Here is a 20,441-nt window from a genome sequence, read left to right on the forward strand (position 1 = left end):
TGTGTTCCAGAAATAATTACAACATTATCACACAAATCTAATCTCTGGGATCTAAATGAGAGGATCACACACTCAGATGGCTACAGGGGCGAGACAGGTCACACAAATAAATGAGGGTGCAAGCTCTGCGATGAAGGGTCCACAATCAGAATCAGATCTGTTAAAATAGGCTATGGCCAACTATTTCAATACCAGCAGTATCACTTGCAGATTCTTTCAGAGAAGCTGGAAATCTGAAATTTTTATTAATAGATGAGATTTCTGGGTTTATTAATGTTAGCAGTTTAACCAAAGAGTTTAGAAACACCTTGTTGGCTAAAGAAATGTATGTTTCAGGGGAGTGGCCTTGACCCACAGACCACCAGTTTAGAAATGCTGATCTAGACTACTGCAGATTAGTTTGTGAGACCAGCCAGAAATAGGATCCAGAAAGGTCAATATACATGGGAGAATGGTTAGAGCACCAGGAACCACTGGAGTGACAGGCTCAGGTGGGTGGATCCTCAGAAGCTGCTCTGGGGCAGGAGAAAGACTGGACTTGGGAGCAAGAAGGATGCTGAAAAGATGAAGCCCGTGACCGAAGGTGACCTGGGCATACTTGACAAGCTAATCTAGGGCTGGCCCCAATGCCACAGATATCTGTATTTTGAATACAGGTTGTTTTTACTTCCTTGGCAATCAGGTTACACAGAGGCAGTATTGTTCAATTCCTATGGCTTCCCGGGACCTGAATTGCACCTGCTGTGCATAACGATGGCATCATCCATAATTAGGCAATGACTTGCTTTTGTCTTGAGGCTTCTATGGGCCTTACCTGATGCAGGCATTCTGGAGGGAGTGTAAGTGGAAAGACTCTAGCAGAGTCAGGTAATATAATTCAGCACACTAAAGTGAACTATGGAACAGGTGCACATACAATGCAATAGCTCAGTTTCACTTTTAATGACTTGCATTATCACACAGCTATTTGGTTATCGTTTTCATAACTCAACAATCTCAAATTAAGACTTTACTATACTTATATAATGGTCTTCTATCCATGGGCAGAGACAAGCAAGGTACAAAATCAGGGGGGAAAATGAAGGCTAAATATGTATTACTAATATTCAAAATGAGAATCAAACATTTGTTATTTAAAAGTTATAGGACAATAGCAGTTGATGAGTGGTTCTTAACGGGGGCAATTTTACCACCACCAGGGGACATTCGCAATGTTTGGAGACATTTTTGGTTGTCACAACTGAGGGTAGCGTTTGCTACTGGCATCTAGTGGTAGAGACTGGGGATGTTTCAGAATATCCTACAATGTACAGGAAGACCCCCAACAATGATCAGCCCCAACATATCAACAGAGACAAGGTCAAAATAGTTCGAAATATGCAATAGTTTGAAAGAAAAAAATTCATCTGCATGTAACTTTAGAAATGAAACTAGGGCGTAAATTAAAGGCAGCCATGCATATGCACGTAAATTAAAAGGTTAAAGGTGTGCATATGTGTGACTGATTACAGCAAATTGCTGTCTCTTCATGAACTCTTAGCTGAATTAATCAAACCAATTATATATGTAGGAAGCAACCTACCTCCTCCGATAACAAGAAAATCATTTTCGCATGCAGCTTTAAGCACGTGGAAGGCCCCCAAAAGATGAATGTGCTGATGACATGCAGAGCAAAAATCATACGAAGAGGAAAAACTTGAAGAGCAAAACCTAGGGTCCTTGATCCTTCCAAGTGGACCCACCAATTGTGTCTTCTCCACTCATTGCTCCCAGTGTGTGGTAGAGTTGATCTCCTTTGACATCTTGCTTTACTAACAGATGCTTTAAATATAAAACAAGTTCAAAGACAGGTAAACAGAAGCTGAGGCTTTCATGCAGTAGAGTGTACTGTGGCTAAGTTATCTGTCAAGTACAATGTTTACTCAGTTGAGATACCTCTCAATTGAAGATGCGGGCCATTATTTCCTAAAGGGGAGTTCTACCCTGAAGTATAGTCTGAGCTGTTAAGGACAGAGGATAACATAAAATAGCTGAAAAGTTTGGGATATTGAGATAAAATGCTGAATTTCGTATTGAGATAAAATGCTGAATTTCATGAAGCATCTAATAGAAAAGAAGCAAGATTGAGGGTTTTAGGTTTTGCATTTTTTTTTTTTTGAGACTGTCATGCTCTGTCACCCAGGCCGGAGTACATTGGTGCTATAGTGGTGCTGTCACTGCAGCCTCCGCATCCTGGGCTCAAGCTATCCTCCCACCTCAGCCTCCCAAGTAGCTGGGACCACAGACACATGCCACCACCCCCAGCTAATTAAAATATTTTTTCTTTTGTGGATACGGGGTTCCCCTGTGTTGCTCAGGCTGGTCTCGAATCCCTGGGCTCAAATGATCTTCCCACCTCAGCCCCCAAAGTGCTGGGATTACAGAAATGAGTCACCGCACTCAGGCATTTCGATTTTACTGAAAAGGGGCAGGAGTGTGGGGCCTGGCTTTTAAATGAAATCTGTACACAAACTATTAAGGTAGGTATTCCCGCTTTCCTATAAAGTCTCATTATGTAGCCAGGGAAGTCATATTACCCAAAAGAACCCAACAGAAACCAAATCCAAACTGAAATATTTACACGGTTTTTTTTTTTTTTTTTGAGATGGAGTCTTGCTCTGTTGCCCAGCTGGAATGTAGTGGCGCAATCTTGGCTCACTGCAAGCTCTGCCTCCTGGGTTCAAGCCATTCTCCTGCCTCAGCCTTCCCAGTAGCTGGGACTACTGGCACTCGCCACCACGCCCAGTTAATTTTTGTTGTATTTTTTTTTTAGTAGAGACAGGGTTTCGCCACGCTAGCCAGGATGGTCTCGATCTCCTGACCCCGTGATCCATCCGCCTCGGCCTCCCAAAGTGCTGGGATTACAGGCGTGAGCCACCGCGTCCAGTCTTTTTTTTTTTCTTTTTTTTTTTTAACACAGTATCTTGCTCTGTCACCCAGGCTGGAGTGCAGTGGCGTGATTTCAGCTCACTGCAAACTCCACCTCCCAGGTTCAAACAATTCTCATGCCTCAGCCTCCCCAGTAACTGGGATTACAGGTGTGCACCACCACACCCTGCTAATTTCTGTTTTGTTTGTTTCTTTTTTTTAGTAGAGGTGGGGTTTCGTCATGTTGGCCAGGCTGGTCTTGAACTCCTGGCCTCAAGTGATCTGCCCGCCTCGGCCTCCGAAAGTGCTGGAATTACAGGTGTGAACCACTACACCCGGCCTACACAGGGTCTTTAAAAAGTCTTAATTGTTACACTTAATTGAAGTAGACATCCTTACGTTTTTTTTCCCAAGTTGGTGATCCTCTTTCATAGTTCCCATTATTAAACCTCTTTCTCTCTTTTGTTTCAGACAAAAATAGGAAGGGTTGGTATTTACTGAGCACTTACCAGATGTTGTTGTAAGTACTTTACAGATAGCTATTTAAGCCTCATCTGTGAAATGTATTTTATTAACCAATTTCCGAATGAGGAAACTGAGGCCCAGAGGATGTAAATAATTGAAAGTAATTTAGCTAGTAAGGGAGGAGTCAAACTTCAAGCTAGGCAATTTAGCCCTAGAATTTGTGATGTATTGTGCAGTCTGAAATCAGGATCTAGAATTTTTCTAAACCACGAGTCAGTATTGTCAGGGGGGGAGTAATTGAGAAAATTGATTTCTTGTTTTTCCTGAGATTCCTTTGAATTATCCTCACTGCCTTTGAAAGAAAGGTGTACAAGTGAAGGAAGGAGTACAAGTGATGCCTTTGATAGCTCAGTTGGTAGAGTGGAGGACTGTAGTGGATGAGAACGGACTATAGAAAGTCCGCACTTGGTGTCGTCAATAGGTTCTTGAAAACTGCAACTTTAAGCAAAATGAGGTATAACAAAACCATTTTGTTCTCATTAATGTTATAACAAAATGATGTTATTTGAAGACCTGCAGTTCATCATTTCGCTTAAAGTTGTAGTTTCCAAGAATCTATTGACGAGGTTAAGTAAGAACTTACTATACTTAAAAGTTTACAGATTTGGAGACGCTTTGGGGGCAGTCTTTGCAGAGCGGCAAGATAGCAGTGGACAAGAAAATGGATTCACTTTGTGTTAGATGGAAGTGACTTGATCTCTAGTTAAATCTACTAACTGAGTGATGTTGAGCAAGTCACTTAATGTCCCTGAGCCTCAGGTTCCTCATTTGTAAAGTGGATAATAACACATCTTTGAATTGTAAGGATTAAGTGATATAATTCAGGTCAAGTGCCTAACACAGTGCCTGGTACAAAGAAAGGGCTTAGTAGATGATAGTTCTTGTTTTGCAGGGAGCTTCATGGTGGAATTATAGGATGGGGATGGATTAGCAAGCAAATCTCAGATAAACATTTTGAAACTGTGAGATTAAATTCTGTTTCTGCCAATTTAAAATAAGGTGACCCTTGGAAAATGGTTTGGCACTTTGGAAACTTTAATTCATAATGAATTTAATTTAATTTATAAAGGAGGCTGGGTGTGATGGTTCAAGCCTGTAAAATCCCAGCACTTTGGGAGGCCAAGGCAGGTGGATTTCTTGAGCTCAAGGAGTTTAAGATCAGCCTGTGCAACATGGCAAAACCCCGTCTCTACCCAAAATTTAAAAATTAGCTGGGTGTGGTGGCGTGCATCTGTGGTCTCAGCTACTTGGGAGGCTGATGTGGGAGGATCCCTTGAGCCCAGGAACTGGAGGCTGCAGTGAGCTGTGATGATAGTGTGAGACCTGGGTGACAGAGTGAGACCCTGTGTCAAAAAAAAAATTTACAAAGGAAATTTTTATTTGTAAATTATTTATTATGTAATGTATGAGTCTATAATTATGTAGATATGGTCACCTTTATAATTTGTTATGTGGCACATGTCTCACATATAAGAGGCAGGACTTGACTCTGGACCAGATTAAAGACTAGTTAAACATGGAAGAATCAACATAAGCCTCTCTCCATAAGACATGCCCACCAATGCCATGACAGTTTACCACTGCCATGACAACACGTGGAAGTTACCACCCCTTTCCATGGCAATGACCTGGAAGTTATCACTTCTTTTCTAGAAATTTATGAATAATATGCCCCTTAATTTGCATATAATTAAAATTGGGTATAAATATATACGCAGAGCTGCCTCTGAGCTGCTCCTCTGAACGTAACTGCCTAGCGGGTAGCCCTGCTCTGCAGAAGCGGTCACTGAGTTGTTAGCACTGCTGCCTCAATAAAGCCATTTTCTTCTATCACCAGCTCACTCTTGAATTCTTTCCTGAGCAAAACCAAAAAACCTTCCCAGGCTGAGCCCCAGCTTTGGGGCTCACCTGCCCTGAGACATCACTAATGATCTTTTTTTTTTTTTGATTGCATGTAGTAAAACGCTTCTATATTACCTCTGTTCTTAAAAGCAAAATTAAGCAAAACAAAACTCAGGAAGAGTAAGCTAGAGACCGGATACCTATTGAGTTAATATTTTGATATACAGCAAACAGCATTTGCTATTTTGGTACCAAGAAACAAAGTCACCCAAGGAAGACGATGATACAATTTACACACTTGGAAGGGGCTTTGAGAGACCTAGTTTTTCTTGACACTTTCGTTTTATGGATGAAGGAATGAAAAAGAAAAAGGCATAGTATGGAAAACGGAGACCAGGTGATTGGTATGTCACAGGGAACTTGGAAGCAGTAGTGATAATTTTCCCTCCTGGTGGTTTTCCAAAGAGATTACTTTCTAGTTTGGGATTTGGTTAGTCTCAACTCATTCCTGTAGAATCAGATCCTGCTAAGATTAGGAAGGATCGCCCTCTAGAGGTCAAAATAAGGAGTGTATACCTGCAAAATGGACTAGATTTGGGCAGATGAGGTTCCCCTTCATGAGGATTTTGGAGCTGAACGAAACTCTTCATTTGAGAGATGAATTTAAAGTTTTGCAGAGGGGAAGGGACTTTATCACTTGGAAATAATTAGTATAATTCAGGTAATTTGACAATCCAGCTTACGTTCCTTCTCAGGCTTCCCCATCACACTAAATACAGCAGCAAATCTTTAATTTGTCAACCTTTTTCATAAGCAGGAGATTCAGGAGCAATAAACGAAAGAAGCAATAATTAATCAGCAGTTGGGGGTATTTCTATTTGTTTACTCCCATCACGGCTGCAAGACTGATTGCTTTAACTTTACCATAGTTTGATTAATTCATCAAGACTGGACAGAGTGTATTGAAATGCTAGTTCCACAAAATTTTGCTTGAACTCTTCTTATACTGTCTGTTTATGAAAGTCCTGAAGTCAGTTAGAGAAATGCATGTAGTTAAGGGTAAGAAAGGCAAGGCCCAAGTTCTGGGAACTTGGATAAAAGACAGGAGAAATATTTTTGAAAATGTAATTATAGTAGTAATTAATAAAACATATTTCTGAATGCCTGAACAGGGTTAAAACTGGCATCTAAATTTAAGCAGGATATTTTTATTCAGAATTTACTTCATTATGAAAATGGCATTCACTGAAGATATTTGTATTAGTTCACTTGGATCACTGAAATTCTAATGCATTCACTTCAATATTAACAATTTTTCAGTACTGGAAGCTAATTTTCAGGGAAATGTGATTTATATCTTGTAAACAAGATGGAAAGCAAATGTTTCACTTATTGAATCTTTTTATCTATGCAGATACTTGGTAATAGTTAAGTAATGGAGCTTTGTAGTCGCTGTCACTTAATTTTCTACTGTTTACCATCATCATGTTTAGAAAACTGCATTCAAGAGGAGAAAAAATCACCCTTCTTTTAAGATAGCATATTTCTTTTCTTTTTTTTTTTGAGATGGAGTTTCGCTCTTGTTGCCCAGGCTGGAGTGCAATGGCGCGATCCGGCTCACTGCAACCTCCGCCTCCTAGGTTCAAGCAATTCTCCTGCCTCAGCCTCCCAAGTAGCTGGGATTATAGGTGTGTGCCACCACGCCCAGCTAATTTTGTATTTTTAGTAGAGATGGGGTTTCACCATGTTGGTCAGGCTGGTCTTGAACTCCTGACCTCAAGTCATCCACCTGCCTCAGCCTCCCAAAGTGCTGGGATTATAGGCATGAGCCACCTCGCCTGGCCAAGATAACATATTTCTGAATGGTTTTTGGTTCCTGACAGAAAGTGAGCTGAAAGCTGATTGGATCTTAGCTGGCAAGTCTTACAAGATCACAAATTCTAGGAGTAAGGCATAAAATCAGTAAACAAGAGTTACAGCATCCGTGAAGTAAAATCAGTAAACAAGAGTTACAGCATCCGTGAAGTACAAGTCTGAGAGCCTAAAGGCAGGATGTGAAACTGACGTGAAAAATGTGGCACTTAAAACTCAGGACACAGATATACATAACCAGGAGGAAAAGAGTCTCTTCTTTGGCTAAGCAAAGAAATGGTGGACCACTGACTTGAATTTAACAAGATGCATAGATAAGTATTTTTTACATCAAGGATTTAGACCTGCATATACTTTTAGGGAACAAGATTTGATTAATAGCATGTTGTCAAATATTTTTTCTCCTTTACGTTCCTTAATAGGCCATGTAAATGAAGGACAGTATCATTCAACAATATCCTGGAATTGTCTCTGTTGATATTAAAGAATGTTGGATGAAATGATTATTAACCTGAAATTTGTATATATTATCTTTTTGGTGATAAATTCATGTAGCTTTTAGTAAGCATTTGAAATTATACACAATATGATGAGTTATGTTTGATGTAGTTTTTTGTTGTTGTTGTTTGTTTTTTTTTTTTTGAGACGGAGTCTCGCACTGTCACCCAGGCTCAAGTGCAGTGGTGCGATCTGGGCTCACTGCAAGCTCCGCCTCCCGGGTTCATGCCATTCTCCTGCCTCAGCCTCCCGAGTAGCTGGGACTACAGGTGCCCGCCACCACGCTTGGCTAATTTTTTTTGTGTTTTTAGTAGAGATGGGTTTCACCGTGTTAGCCAGGATGGTTTTGATCTCCTGACCTTGTGATCCGCCCGCCTCAGCCTCCCGAAGTGCTGGGATTACAGGCATGAGCCATTGCGCCCAGCCGATGTAGTTACTTTTAAAAAAGAAAGGATAATAGTTATAGATTTAGTTTATGCATTTAATACTTATGAAAGGGCTGGGATACATTTTGTGATAATAGAGCCTAAGAAGCAAACACACATGCACACACACACACACACACAGACACACACACACTACCCATCTTGTATCATACTGCACATTATATTTTCTCTAAGACTAACTAAACTAATCTCAGTGTGAAATTTACTGGCCAACCAAACAATGGCTTAAGGTAAAACTGCATAATGTCATAAATGTGCATCCTCCAAACTTTTTATCTTTTACTTTATTTTATAAGGTCCACCTTTGGAGGAACCATAAGGTTCTGAAATCAATAAAAACTAAGTACATTCTTATGATTAAAGTAATACTCTACCATAATGGATAGCAGCATTTGTCTAAATCCGGGATACTTAATGTTGCAAAGACCTTGGTCTCACAGGGCAGACTATAGTCAGACCCATAGTTTGATGCAGTGTGATTTTCCTGTTGCTGGCGTTGAACCCAGTGGTCATCAAGTTGCATTTTTCCCCGAGGTTTGTATTCTGCCAAAATTTGGCTGGAAAATTATTTTCTTGTGGATCTGATTTTAAAAGACATTCACAGATAGGTGCAGTGTCCCACGTTTGTAATCCCAGCACTAGGGAGGCCACCCAGGGGGATTGCTTGAGGCCAGGAGTTTGAGACTAGCCTGGGCAGCATGGTAAGACCCTGTCTCTTAAAAAAACAAAACGAAGGTTAGCAGGGCATGGTGGCTCACACTTGTAGTCCCAGCTACTCCAGAAGCTGAATTAGGAGGATCACTTGAGCCCTGGAGATTAAGGATGCAGTGAACTGTGATGGTGCCATTGCACTCCAGTCTGTGTGACAGAATGAGTCCTTGTCTGTGATTTAAAAAAATCTTTTTAATTAAAAAAAAACTAAAGGACACTCACAAGAGCAAACTAACAGCCTTGAGCTTGAAGAGCTCTAATTTGGTATCTACTTGTTACCCCTGCAATGTCTTTCCTCTCTTCACTTCTCACAGAGATCAACCATGCCTACTTGTCTCCCTCCATTCAGACCAGATTTATTTAGCAGAAAGCTTTTTGAAAGAAGTCATATGGATTTCAGGTCGGCATGGTGGCTCACGCCTGTAATCCCAGCACTTTGGGAGGCCAAGGTGGGTGGATCACCTGAGGTCAGGAGTTCGAGCCCAGCCTGGCCAACATGGTGAAACTCCATGTCTACTAAAAATACAAAAAATTAGCTGGGTGTGGTGGCACACACCTGTAGTCCCAGCTACTCAGGAGGTTGAGGCAGGAGAACCGTTTGAACCCGGGAGGCAGAGGTTGCAGTGAGCCAAGATTGAGCCATTGCACTCCAGCCTGGGTGACAAGAGTGAAACTCCATCTCAAAAGAGAGAGAGAGAGAGAGAGAAAAAAAAAAAAGAAGTCATATGAGTTTCTTTCCTTATCCCAACTCCCATGGCTATATCTGGCTCTTTCTGAAGTAGAATATGATGCTTGAAAGGTGGCTTTTAACTCAGGCGGAAAGGATGTGTTCTTGGGCAAGAGAGAGGAAAATGGTCTTTGACATGGTCAGAGAAGCTCTAGAAATCTGTTAGTAGTTTCACCAGCTCTCATATTTTCGGAGGTTTATAAATTGGTAGTAAAATAATTCCCAGGCTCTGTAACATAAGTTTAAAGAAGGTGAAAAAATCTCTTAAACATTATTTCAGTGGTGGGAACATATGTTGAGGTCAGAAAAGTTTTTTGAAAAATCAATGATCCAGCCAATCTTTAAATGTTATGCCTTGAGAGAGGTGAGGGCCAGGTGCTGTGGCTCATGCCTGTAATCCCAGTGAGAGGTGACAACGTGCTAGCAGCCCTTGCTCGCTCTCAGCACCTCCTCGGCCTTGGCATCCGCTCTGGCCATGCTTCAGGAGCCCTTCAGCCCGCTGCTGCATGGTGGGAGCCCCTCTCTGGGCTGGCCGTGGCCGGAGCTGGCACCCTCTGCTTGCAGGGAGGTGTGGAGGGAGAGGCGCAGGCGGGAACTGGGGCTGCACGTGGTGCTCATGGGCCAGCGCGAGTTCCGGGTGTGCACGGGCTCAGCGGGCCCTGCACTCAGAGCTGCCGGCCAGTGCCGCTGGCCCCAGGCAGTGAGGGGCTTAGCACTGTGGCCAGCAGCTGTGGAGGGGGCGCTGGGTCCCCCAGCACTGCCGGCCGGCCTGCGCGGTGCTCGAATTCTCGCCTGGCCTCAGCCGCCTCCGGAGGGGCAGGGCTGGGGACCTTCAGCCCACCATGCCCAAGCCCCACCCCCCACCCCAGTCATGGGCTCCTGCACGGCCTGAGCCTCCCCAACAGACGCCAGCCCCCTGCTCCGTGGCGCCCGGTCCCATAGACTGCCCAAGGGCTGAGGAGTGCAGGTGCAGAGCGTGGGACTGGTGAGCAACTCCGCCCCCAGCCCTGGCACGGATCCACTAGGTGAAGCCAGCTGGGCTCCTGAGTCAGGTGGGGACTTAGAGAACTTTTATGTCTAGCTGGAGGATTGTATATGCACCAGTCAGCACTCTGTGTCTAGCTCGGGGTTCATGGGTGCACCAATCAGCACTCTGTATCTAGCTCATCTGGTGGGGACTTGGAGAACCTTTTTTTTTTTTCTGAGACGAAGTCTCACTTTTTCACCCAGGCTGGAGTGCAGTGGCACTATCTATGCTCACTGCAAGCTCCGCCTCCCCGGTTCATGCCATTCTTCTGTCTCAGCCTTCTGAGTAGCTGGGACTACAGGTGCCCGCCACTGCGCCGCCTGGCTAATTTTTTTTGTATTTTTAGTAGAGATGGGGTTTCACCTTGTTATCCAGGATGGTCTCCATCTCCTGACCTCGTGATCCGCTAGCCTTGGCCTCCCAAAGTGCTGGGATTACAGGCGTGAGCCACTGCGTCGGGCCAAGACTTGGAGAACTTATATGTCTAGCTAAAGGATTGTAAATGCACCAATAAGCACTCTGTGTCTAGCTCAAGGTTTGTAAACACACCAATCAGCACTCTGTGTCTAGCTCAAGGTTTGTAAATGCACCAATCAGCACCCTGTGTCTAGCTCAAGGTTTGTAAATGCACCAATCAGTGCTCTGTGTCTAGCTAATCTAGTGGGGACTTGGAGAACTTTTACCTCTAGCTGGAGGATTGTAAATACACCAATCAGCACTCTGTGTCTAGTTCAGTGATTGTAAATGCACCAATCAGCACCCTGTCAAAACGGACCAATAAGCTCTCTGCAAAATGGACCAATCAGCTTTCTGTAAAATGGGCCAATCAGCAGGATGTGGGTGGGGTCAGATAAGGGAATAAAAGCAGGCTGCCAGAGCCAGCAGCAGCAGCCGGCTTGGGTCCCCTTCAACACTGTGGAAGATTTGTTGTTTTGCTCTTTGCAATAAATGTTGGTCCTGCTCACTCTTTAGATCCGCACTACCTTTATGAGCTGTAACATTCACCGTGAAGGTCTGCAGCTTCACTCCTGAGGCCAGCAAGGCCATGAACCCACAGGGAGGAATGACTAACTCCAGACGGGAGGAATGAACAGCTCTAGACGCGCAGCCTTAAGAGCTGTAACACTCATCGTGAAGGTCTGCAGCTTCACTCGTGAAGCCAGGGAGACCATGAATCCACCAGAAAGAACAAACTCCGAATGTGTCTGAATATGAGAAGGAACAAACTCTGGACACACCTTCTTTAAGAACTGTAACACCCACCGAGAGGGTGTGCGGCTTTATTCTTGAAGTCAGTGAGACCATGAACCCGCCAATTGTGGACACACCAGCACTATGGTAGGTTGAGGCAGGTGCATTGCTTGACCCCAGGAGTTCAAGACCAGTTTGGGCAACACCGTGAAACCCCATCTCTACTAAAAATACAAAAATAAGCCAGGTATGGTGGTGTGTGCCTGTAGTCCCAGCTATTCAGGGGGCTAAGGCGGGAGGATCACCTGAGCCCAGAAGGTCAAGGCTGCAGTGAGACATAATTGTGCCACTGCACTGCAGCCTGGGCTACAGAAGGAGACCCTGTCTTGGGGCGGGGGGGGGGGGGGGGGGAAGGACACTACATGGCAGGGTCCGGGATCCAATGAGACCAGACTCCAGCATCACCCCATGGCTGGATCCATCAGATCATGCCTGTGGGCATCACCTCATTGCAAGATCCAATTAGATCACACCTCATTACCTCATGCTTATAAAACTCAACCCAGCCCTCAGCTCTCGGAGACAGATTTGAGCATTTCCTCTTATCACTTTGTCAGTATAGTCATAACAAACCTTTCTTGCTGCACAAGCCCGTGTTTTGGTGTTTGGCCATTGAGCGAGGGCAAATGATCTCAGTTTGGACACGTATGAGTGTGTCCACATACACATGTTAGCATCAACTAAACTGTTCTGGATAACCTTGGGCCAGGTAAGGGTTCAGGCTAACTTGGCAGATTTTTTCATTAAAAGGCCAGATAGCAATATTTTAGGCTTTGCTGGCTACGGAAGGTATCTGTCACATATTTTTGTTGTTGTTGTTGTTGTTGTTTTTTACAACCCTTTAAAACTTGGATGAGCTTCAAAAGCATGCTAAGTGAAAGATACCATACACAAAAGGTGGCATATTGTGTGTTTCAATTTATATGATATATCCAGAATAGGCAAGTCCGTGGAGACAGCAGATTGGCGGTTGCCAGGAGCTAGGGGAGGAGGAAAGGAGCGACTGTTTAATGGGCATGATTACTCTTTTTGGGGTGATGAAATGTTTTGGAACTGGATAGGTGAGGTTGCACAACATTGTAAATGTACTAAATGAAATTATTTCACTTAAACATGGCATTGTTAAATTTAAAATGTTTCAGTTTCTGTGATATGAATTTCTGTTATGTGAATTTCAATTTATTTATTTATTTATTTATTTTGAGACGGAGTCTTGCTCTTTCACCCAGGCTGGACTGCAGTGGCGCTACCTCGGCTCACTGCAAGCTCCACCTCCCGGGGTTCACGCCATTCTCCTGCCTCAGCCTCCTGAGTAGCTGGGACTACAGGTGCCCACCACCACGCCCGGCTAATTTTTTTTGTATTTTTAGTAGAGACGGGGTTTCACTTTGTTAGCAAGGATGGTCTCGATCTCCTGACGTCGTGATCCGCCCGCCTCAGCCTCCCAAAGTGCTGGGATTACAGGCGTGAGCCACAGCGCCCGGCCATGAATTTCAATATAAAATGGTTCAATTTCAGTTTTCTGAATTTCACCTCAAGGAAAACAAACAAATACCTTAAAGAACATTCTTAGCTCAAAAGCCTTAAAAAAACAGGCTAGAGGATGAACTTGGCTGCAGGGTCATCATTTGTGGGCTCTTGGGCTAAAGGAAGGGCTAATTTCTTTTGTCAGAAGTAAGGAGTATATAATGATAAGTTCTCTGGAGCATAAATTTTGTATTAGTCATATTTATTAATTCATTCCACAGAGCATTACCCAGGGGGACATATGCGGTGCCCTAGTTACAGCAGTGGGCAAGGCAGACATTTTGCCACCCTCATGGAGCTTAGTCCTTTACTTATTTTTACTTCCTCAGGATTCAGACAACAAGCAGAGGCCAATTTATGGGGCTGCATGACAGTTTATTGCATTTGAGCATTTTTCTAATTTGGGTTTCTTATAACAACAAAGGCCAATGTGTGTTTGTGTGTGAATGTTTTGCAACTAGACAGATGTGAAGGTTACCCAACATTGTGAATGTGCTGAATGGAATTGTTCTATTCAAACATGGCATTATTTGTTTTAAAATGCATTATGTGAGTTTGAAGTTATGTGAATTTCACCTCAACAAAAACAATGTAAAAAAACCATTCTCAGCTTGAAGGCCTTAATATCCTTATGGAGATATAATTCATATAACCATACAACTCCTCCATGTAAAGTGTGCAATTCAATGGGTTTTGTATATTCATAGAGTTGTGCAACTATCACCATAATAAGTTTTGAAACATTTTTTTCTCCCTAAGAAAGCCCTGTGCCCTTGAGTTGTTGCTATGGACTGAATTCTATATCCCTCTCCCCATAATTTATATGCTGAAGCCCTAATCTCCAATGTAATGGTATTTGGAGGTGGGGCCTTTGGAAGATAATAGGTTTAGATGAAGTCAGGAGATTGGGACCCTCATGATAGGATTAGGGCCCTTATAATAAGAGACCCCAGAGAACTTGCTTGTTTTCTCTTCTCTCACCATAGAAGAAAGCCTCCACCAGATACAGGCACTATTGGTACCTTGATCTTAGACTTCCAGCGTCTTTAATTATGAGAAAATAAATTTCTTTCATTTAAGTTACCTAGTATGTGGTATTTTGTTATGGTAGCCTGAACTGATTAAGACAGCTATCATTCCCCTATGTGTCCTTCTCTGCCCACCTCCCACCTCCTTCCCCCAGCCCCAGGCAACCACTAGTCAACTTTCTGTCCCTGTGGGTTCGCCTATTCCGGACATTTTACATACATGGAATTGAGGCAGGAGAATAGGGGCTGGAGGCCGGGAACCTAAGGACTCCCTAGAACTAAATCAAACAGAAACACTTCAGTGATGAAAGGAAATATCCTCTTCATTTACATAGGGCATACACTGAGTGACTTTGTAACTTCTCTTTAGTGTCTTCATTTACATAGCACATACTCCATTGGAACCCTCCAGAGGCTATTTAAACCCCAGAAAATTCTGTAACGAGGCTCTTGAGCCCCTATGCTCGGACCACTTCCACCCTGTGGAGTGCACTTTCATTTTCAATAAATCTCTGCTTTTGTTGCTTCATTCTGTCCTTGCTTTGTTTGTACGTTTTGTCAATTCTTTGTTCAAGATGCCAAGATCCTGGACACCTTCCATTGGTAACAGAATCATACGATATGTAGCCTCTTTCACTTAGCATAATGTTTTCGAGGTTCATCTACACTGTAGCATGTATCAGTATAATCATTATATCATTTCTTCTTTCCTTTTTTTTTTTTTTTGAGACAGAGTATCGCTCTGTCGCCCAGGCTGGAGTGCAGTGGTGCAATCTCAGCTCACTGCAACCTCTGCCTCCAGGTTCACGCGATTCTCCTGCCTCAGCCTCCTGAGTAGCTGGGATTACAGGTGCGTGCCACCATGCCCGACTAATTTTTTGTATTTTTAGTAGAGATGGGGTTTCACTGTGTTAGCCAGGATGGTCTCGATCTCCTGACCTCGTGATCCACCCGCCTTGGCCCCTCAAAGTGCTGGGATTAGAGGCGTGAACCACCACGCCCGGTCCCCCAACCCCCCCTTCTTTTTTGAGACAGGGTCTCACTCTGTTGTTCAGGCTGGAGTGCCATGGTAAGATCATAGCTCACTGGAGCCTCCAACTCCTGTGCTCGAGCAGTCCTTCTCAGCCTCTCAAGCAGCTGGACGACAGGCGCATGCCACCATGCCTGGCTAATGAAATTTTTTTTTTTTTTTTTTTTGTAGTGACAGGGTCTTGATTTCTTGCCTAGGCTAGTCTCCAACTCCTAGCTTCAAATAGTCTCCTCGTTTCAGCCTTCCAAAGTGCTGAGATTATAGGTATGAGCCACCATGCCCACCCAACATTTATTTTTATTGCGGAATAATACTTCAGAGTATGGTATTTATATAGCTGTAAGTTTTTGTGGCTACAGTTTGTGCTGGGTAGAGTTTGTCCCTGTTGTAGAAAAGGACAGTCCTGGTAGGTGGAATGTCTAGATAAGCCCATCCTAGAAAGAGGGTGTATTAGTCTGTTTTCATGCTGCTGATAAAGACATACCTGAGACTGGGAAGGAGAAGAGGTTTAATTGGACTTACAGTTCCACATGGCTATGGAGGCCTCAGAATCATAACAGGAGGCGAAAGGCACTTCTTTGTTTGTTTTTTGAGACGGAGTCTCATTCTGTCACCAGGTTGGAGTGCAGTGGTGTGATCTTGGCTCACTGCAACCTGTGCCTCCTGGGTTCAAGCGATTCTCCTGCCTCAGCCTCCCAAGTAGCTGGGATTATAGGTGCCTGTGACTATGCCTGGCTAATTTTTGTATTTTTAGTAGAGTTGGGGTTTCAGCATGTTGGCCAGGATGGTCTCAATCTCTTGACCTCGTTATCTGCCCGCCTCAGCCTCCCAAAGTACTGGGATTACAGGCATGAGCCACCGTGCTTGGCCGTGAAAGGCACTTCTTACATGGCGGCAGCAAGAGAAAATGAGGAAGAAGCAAAAGTGGAAACCCTTGATAAACCCATTGGTTATCACCAGACTTACTCATTATCATGAGAATAGCATGGGAAAGACCAGCCCCCATGATTCAATTACCTTCCACTGGGTTCCTCCCACAACATGTGGGAATTCTGGGAGCTACAATTCAAGTTGAGATTTGAATGGGGACACAGCCAAACCATATCATTCCACACCTGGCCCCTCCAAATCTCATGTCCTCACATTTCAAAACCAATCATGCCTTACCAACAGTCTGCCAAAATCTTAACTCATTTCAGCATTAACCCGAAAGTCCACAGTCCAAAGTCTCATCTGAGACAAGGCAAGTCCCTTCCACCTACGAGCCTGTAAAATCAAAAGCAAGCTAGTTACTTCCTAGATACAATAGGGGCACAAGCGTTGGGTAAATACAGCCATTCCAAATGGGAGAAATTGGCCAAAACGAAGTAGTGACAGGGCTTATGCAAGTCCAAAATCCAGTGGGGAAGTCCAATTCCAAAAATGATCTCCTTTGACTCCAGGTCTTACATCCAGTTCACGCTGATGCAAAATGTGGGTTCTCATGGTCTTGGGCAGCTCTGCCCCTGTGGCTTTGCAGGGTACTGCCTCCCTCCTGGCTTCTCCCTCCCACCTACCAGGACTGTCCTTTTCTACAACAGGCACAAACTCTAGCCAGCACAAATTGTAGCCACAAAAACTTACAGCTGTATAAATATCATACAATGAAACATTACTCCACAACAAAAAGAAATTACAGGTGGGCATGGTGGCTTATACCTGTAATCTCAGGACTTTGGGAGGCTGAGGTGAGGAGATTATTTGAAGCTAGGAGATGGAGACCAGCCTGGGGAAGAAATCAAGACCCTGTCTTTAACAAAAAAAAAAAAAAAATTTTTTTTCATGGGCCGGCATTGAGTGCCTGTGGCTTTTCCAGGTGCATGGAGCAAGCTGTTGGTGGATCTACCATTCTGGGGTTTGGAAGATGATGGCCCTCTTCTCAAAGCTCCACTAGGCAGTGCCCCAGTAGGGACTCTGTGTGGGGGCTCTGACCCCACATTTCCCTTCTGTACTGCCCTAGAAGAGGTTCTTCATGAGGGCCCTGCCCCTGCAGCAAACTTTTGCCTGGGCATCCAGGCATTTCCATACATCTTCTGAAATCTAGGTGGAGGTTCCCAAACCTCAATTCTTGACTTCTGTGCACCTGCAGACTTAACCACATGGAAGCTGCCAAGGCTTGGGGCTTCCATCCTCTGAAGCTACAGCCCGAACTGTACATTGGCCCCTTTCAGCCATGGCTGGAGTGGCTGGGACATGGGGCACCAAGTCCCTAGGCTGCATACAGCATGAGGACCCTGGGCCTGGCCCACAAAACCACTTTTTCCTCCTGGGCCTCTGGGCCTGTGATGGTAGGGGCTGCTGTGAAGGTCTCTCACATACCCTGGAGACATTTTTCCCATGGTCTTGGGGATTAACATTAGACTCCTTGCTACTTATGCAAATTTCTGCAGCTGGCTTGAATTTCCCCTCAAAAAATGGATTGTTCTTTTAACTGCATCATCAGGCTGCAAGTTTCCAAACTTTTATGATCTGTTTCCCTCTTAAAATGGAATGCTTTTAATAGTACCCAACTCACCTCTTGAATGCTTTTCTGCTTAGAAATTTCTTCTGCCAGATACCTAAATCATGTCTCTCAAGTTCAAAGTTCCACAGATCTCTAGGGCAGGGGCAAAATGCTGCCAGTCTCTTTGCTAAAATGTAACAAGAGTCACTTTTGCTTCAGTTGCCAACAAGTTCCTTATCTCCATCTGAGACCACCTCAGCCTGGACCTTATTGTTCATATCACTATTAGCATTTTTGTCAAAGCCATTCAACAAATCTCTGGGAAGTTCCAAACTTTCCCACATTTTCCTGTTTTCTTCTGAGCCCTCCAAACTGCGCCAACCTCTGCCTGTTACCCAGTTCCAAAGTTGCTTTCACATTTTTTGCATGTCTTTTCAGCAACACCCTGCTCCTGGTACTAATTTACTGTATTAGTCCGTTTTCATACTGCTGATAAAAGACATACCTGAGACTGGGAAGAAAAAGAGGTTTAATTGGACTTACAGTTCCACATGGCTGGGAGGCCTCAGAATCATGGCAGGAGGCAAAAGACACTTCTTACATGGTGGTGGCAAGAGAAAATGAGGAAGAAGCAAAAGTGGAAACCCCTGATAAACCCATCAGATCTCTTGAGACTTATTCATTATCATGAGAATATCATGGGAAAGGCTGGCCCCCATGATTCAATTACCTCCCCCAGGTCCCTCCCACAACACATGGGAATTCTGGGAGATACAATTCAAGTTGAGATTTGAATGGGGACACACCCAAACCATAATAGAGGGAGCTGTTTTCCAGAACAGAGTCCTCTTTTCCTTTCTCTGGACCTTTAATTGTTGCTTCCTCTGTGGGCCTGCTCTGAATACTGTGAGGTCTGGGGCAGGAGTCCAAATGGAGGCCATTGTGCCATATGTGCAAATATGTAAAAGTTATAAATCAAGGCACCAAACTGTTATATAAGACATATTGTGTCCTCATCTTCACAATGATTAGAAGGCTTGTTTCAATTTAATTTAATGTATTTATTTGTTTTTGAGAAAGGGTGTCTCTCTGTCACCCAGGTTGGAGTGCAGTGGCATCATGATCATGGCTCCCTGCTGCCTCCATCTCATGGGCTCAAGTGATCCTCCTACCTCAGCCTCCTGAGTAGCTGGGAATACAGAAGCATGCCACCACTCTTGGCTAATTAAAAAAAATATTTAAAAGTTTTTTTTATAGAGTTGTGTCTCACTATGTTGCCCAGGCTGGTCTTGAACTCCTGGGCTCAAGTAATCCTCCCACCTTGGCCTCTCAAAGTGCTGGGATTACAGGCATGAGCCACTGCATGCAGCCCTGGTTTCAGTTTTAGAATTATTGGAATCCTTGGACGTCCCTGCCTCTATGCATCTGTGACTTTCCTTTTCCCATCTGAGCTCCATCTTGCTCTGCAAGAAACCTTCTGCAATGGTTCTCCCCACATCTCACATACATAACTGCTTTTTGGCCACTCTGGTCTCAGTATGAGGAGCCTGGGAAGAGCTTAGGCTCTGGAATCAGGCGTGGGACTCTTTGGGCAGAAGATTCTGAGGTTCTGTATATGTGGATCATGGTTCAGAAGAAGAAAATGTGGGATCCAGGGGAGTATGTCCACTGGGCTTGTAGACTCCTTGGTCTGTGGGGAGAGCCAGTAGCCAGATGAAGGCCAGAGTGGGTTCCTCTAATGTGTGAGGTTCAGTTTTGCAGCCCTTGTTGCTTGAGACCAAAGGCAGTACTGTTTCTGTGGTTCCCAGGTAATGGAGACTTGATTTCCAGCAATCAGAAAAGCCTCACCAAGCTTGCTTATCCTTTCCTACCTGGAGTGAGACCCACACCGTCTCAAAGACAAGGTGAGAAACCATTATATTTGCTTCACCGAGATGGATTTTAGAAAGCCTAAACCATCACTTAACCTCATTTGATCCAGAATATCCCCTCTGAGAAACACTGTGTGTGTGTGGTCTTGAACTCCTGGGCTCAAGTAATCCTCCGACACACATTGGTATGTCCATGCTAACTTAAAGGCTGAGCAGATGCCACCAAATCTTGATGTTCTTTTGTGTCTGCTTATTGCAGTTTCCAATTAGGTGCTCAGGATACTTTTGCCTTGCCCTCCCAAACTGCTGTGGTTATAGGCATGAGCCACTGTGCCTGGCCTAGAATTTTTAACTGTATTCAGTAAGGACTATTTTAGTATCAAGTAACAGAAATTGTACTTAAACTGGACGAAAAAGAATACATATTTCTCTTTTCTCCAGAAAAGAGAAATACATATTGCCCACTTATCTAGAAAGTCAAGCAGTAGTGTTGCAGGCACAGCTTCACCAATAATATGGGGCCCAACGTCACCAATAATATGTCCCTCTCAATTCCCGATTCTGTTTCTCTTCATGTTGGCTTCATTTTTGGGCAAGTTCTCTCTTGTGGTGACAAAGAAGGCATCATGCAAGGTTAGCATCTTCAGGAAAAGCTCATCTTTCACAACAGTTATAATAAAAGGACCAGATTCAATTC

At 43.9% G+C, this 20,441-nt stretch overlaps 1 long non-coding RNA gene across 1 annotated transcript in view; it reads left to right on the plus strand.

Annotated features, from left to right (window-relative positions):
- The window catches only part of LOC105373909 (uncharacterized), a 61,147-nt gene extending 41,383 nt beyond the window's left edge, over positions 1-19,764 (plus strand). The window contains exon 3 of the long non-coding RNA XR_923955.1: positions 19,682-19,764. This is a non-coding gene — a long non-coding RNA (uncharacterized LOC105373909). The remainder of the gene's footprint in view (positions 1-19,681) is intronic.
- The last annotated feature ends 677 nt before the right edge of the window (positions 19,765-20,441 follow it).

This window comes from Homo sapiens, chromosome 2, assembly GCF_000001405.40.
Source record: "Homo sapiens chromosome 2, GRCh38.p14 Primary Assembly".
Taxonomy (NCBI): domain Eukaryota; kingdom Metazoa; phylum Chordata; class Mammalia; order Primates; family Hominidae; genus Homo; species Homo sapiens.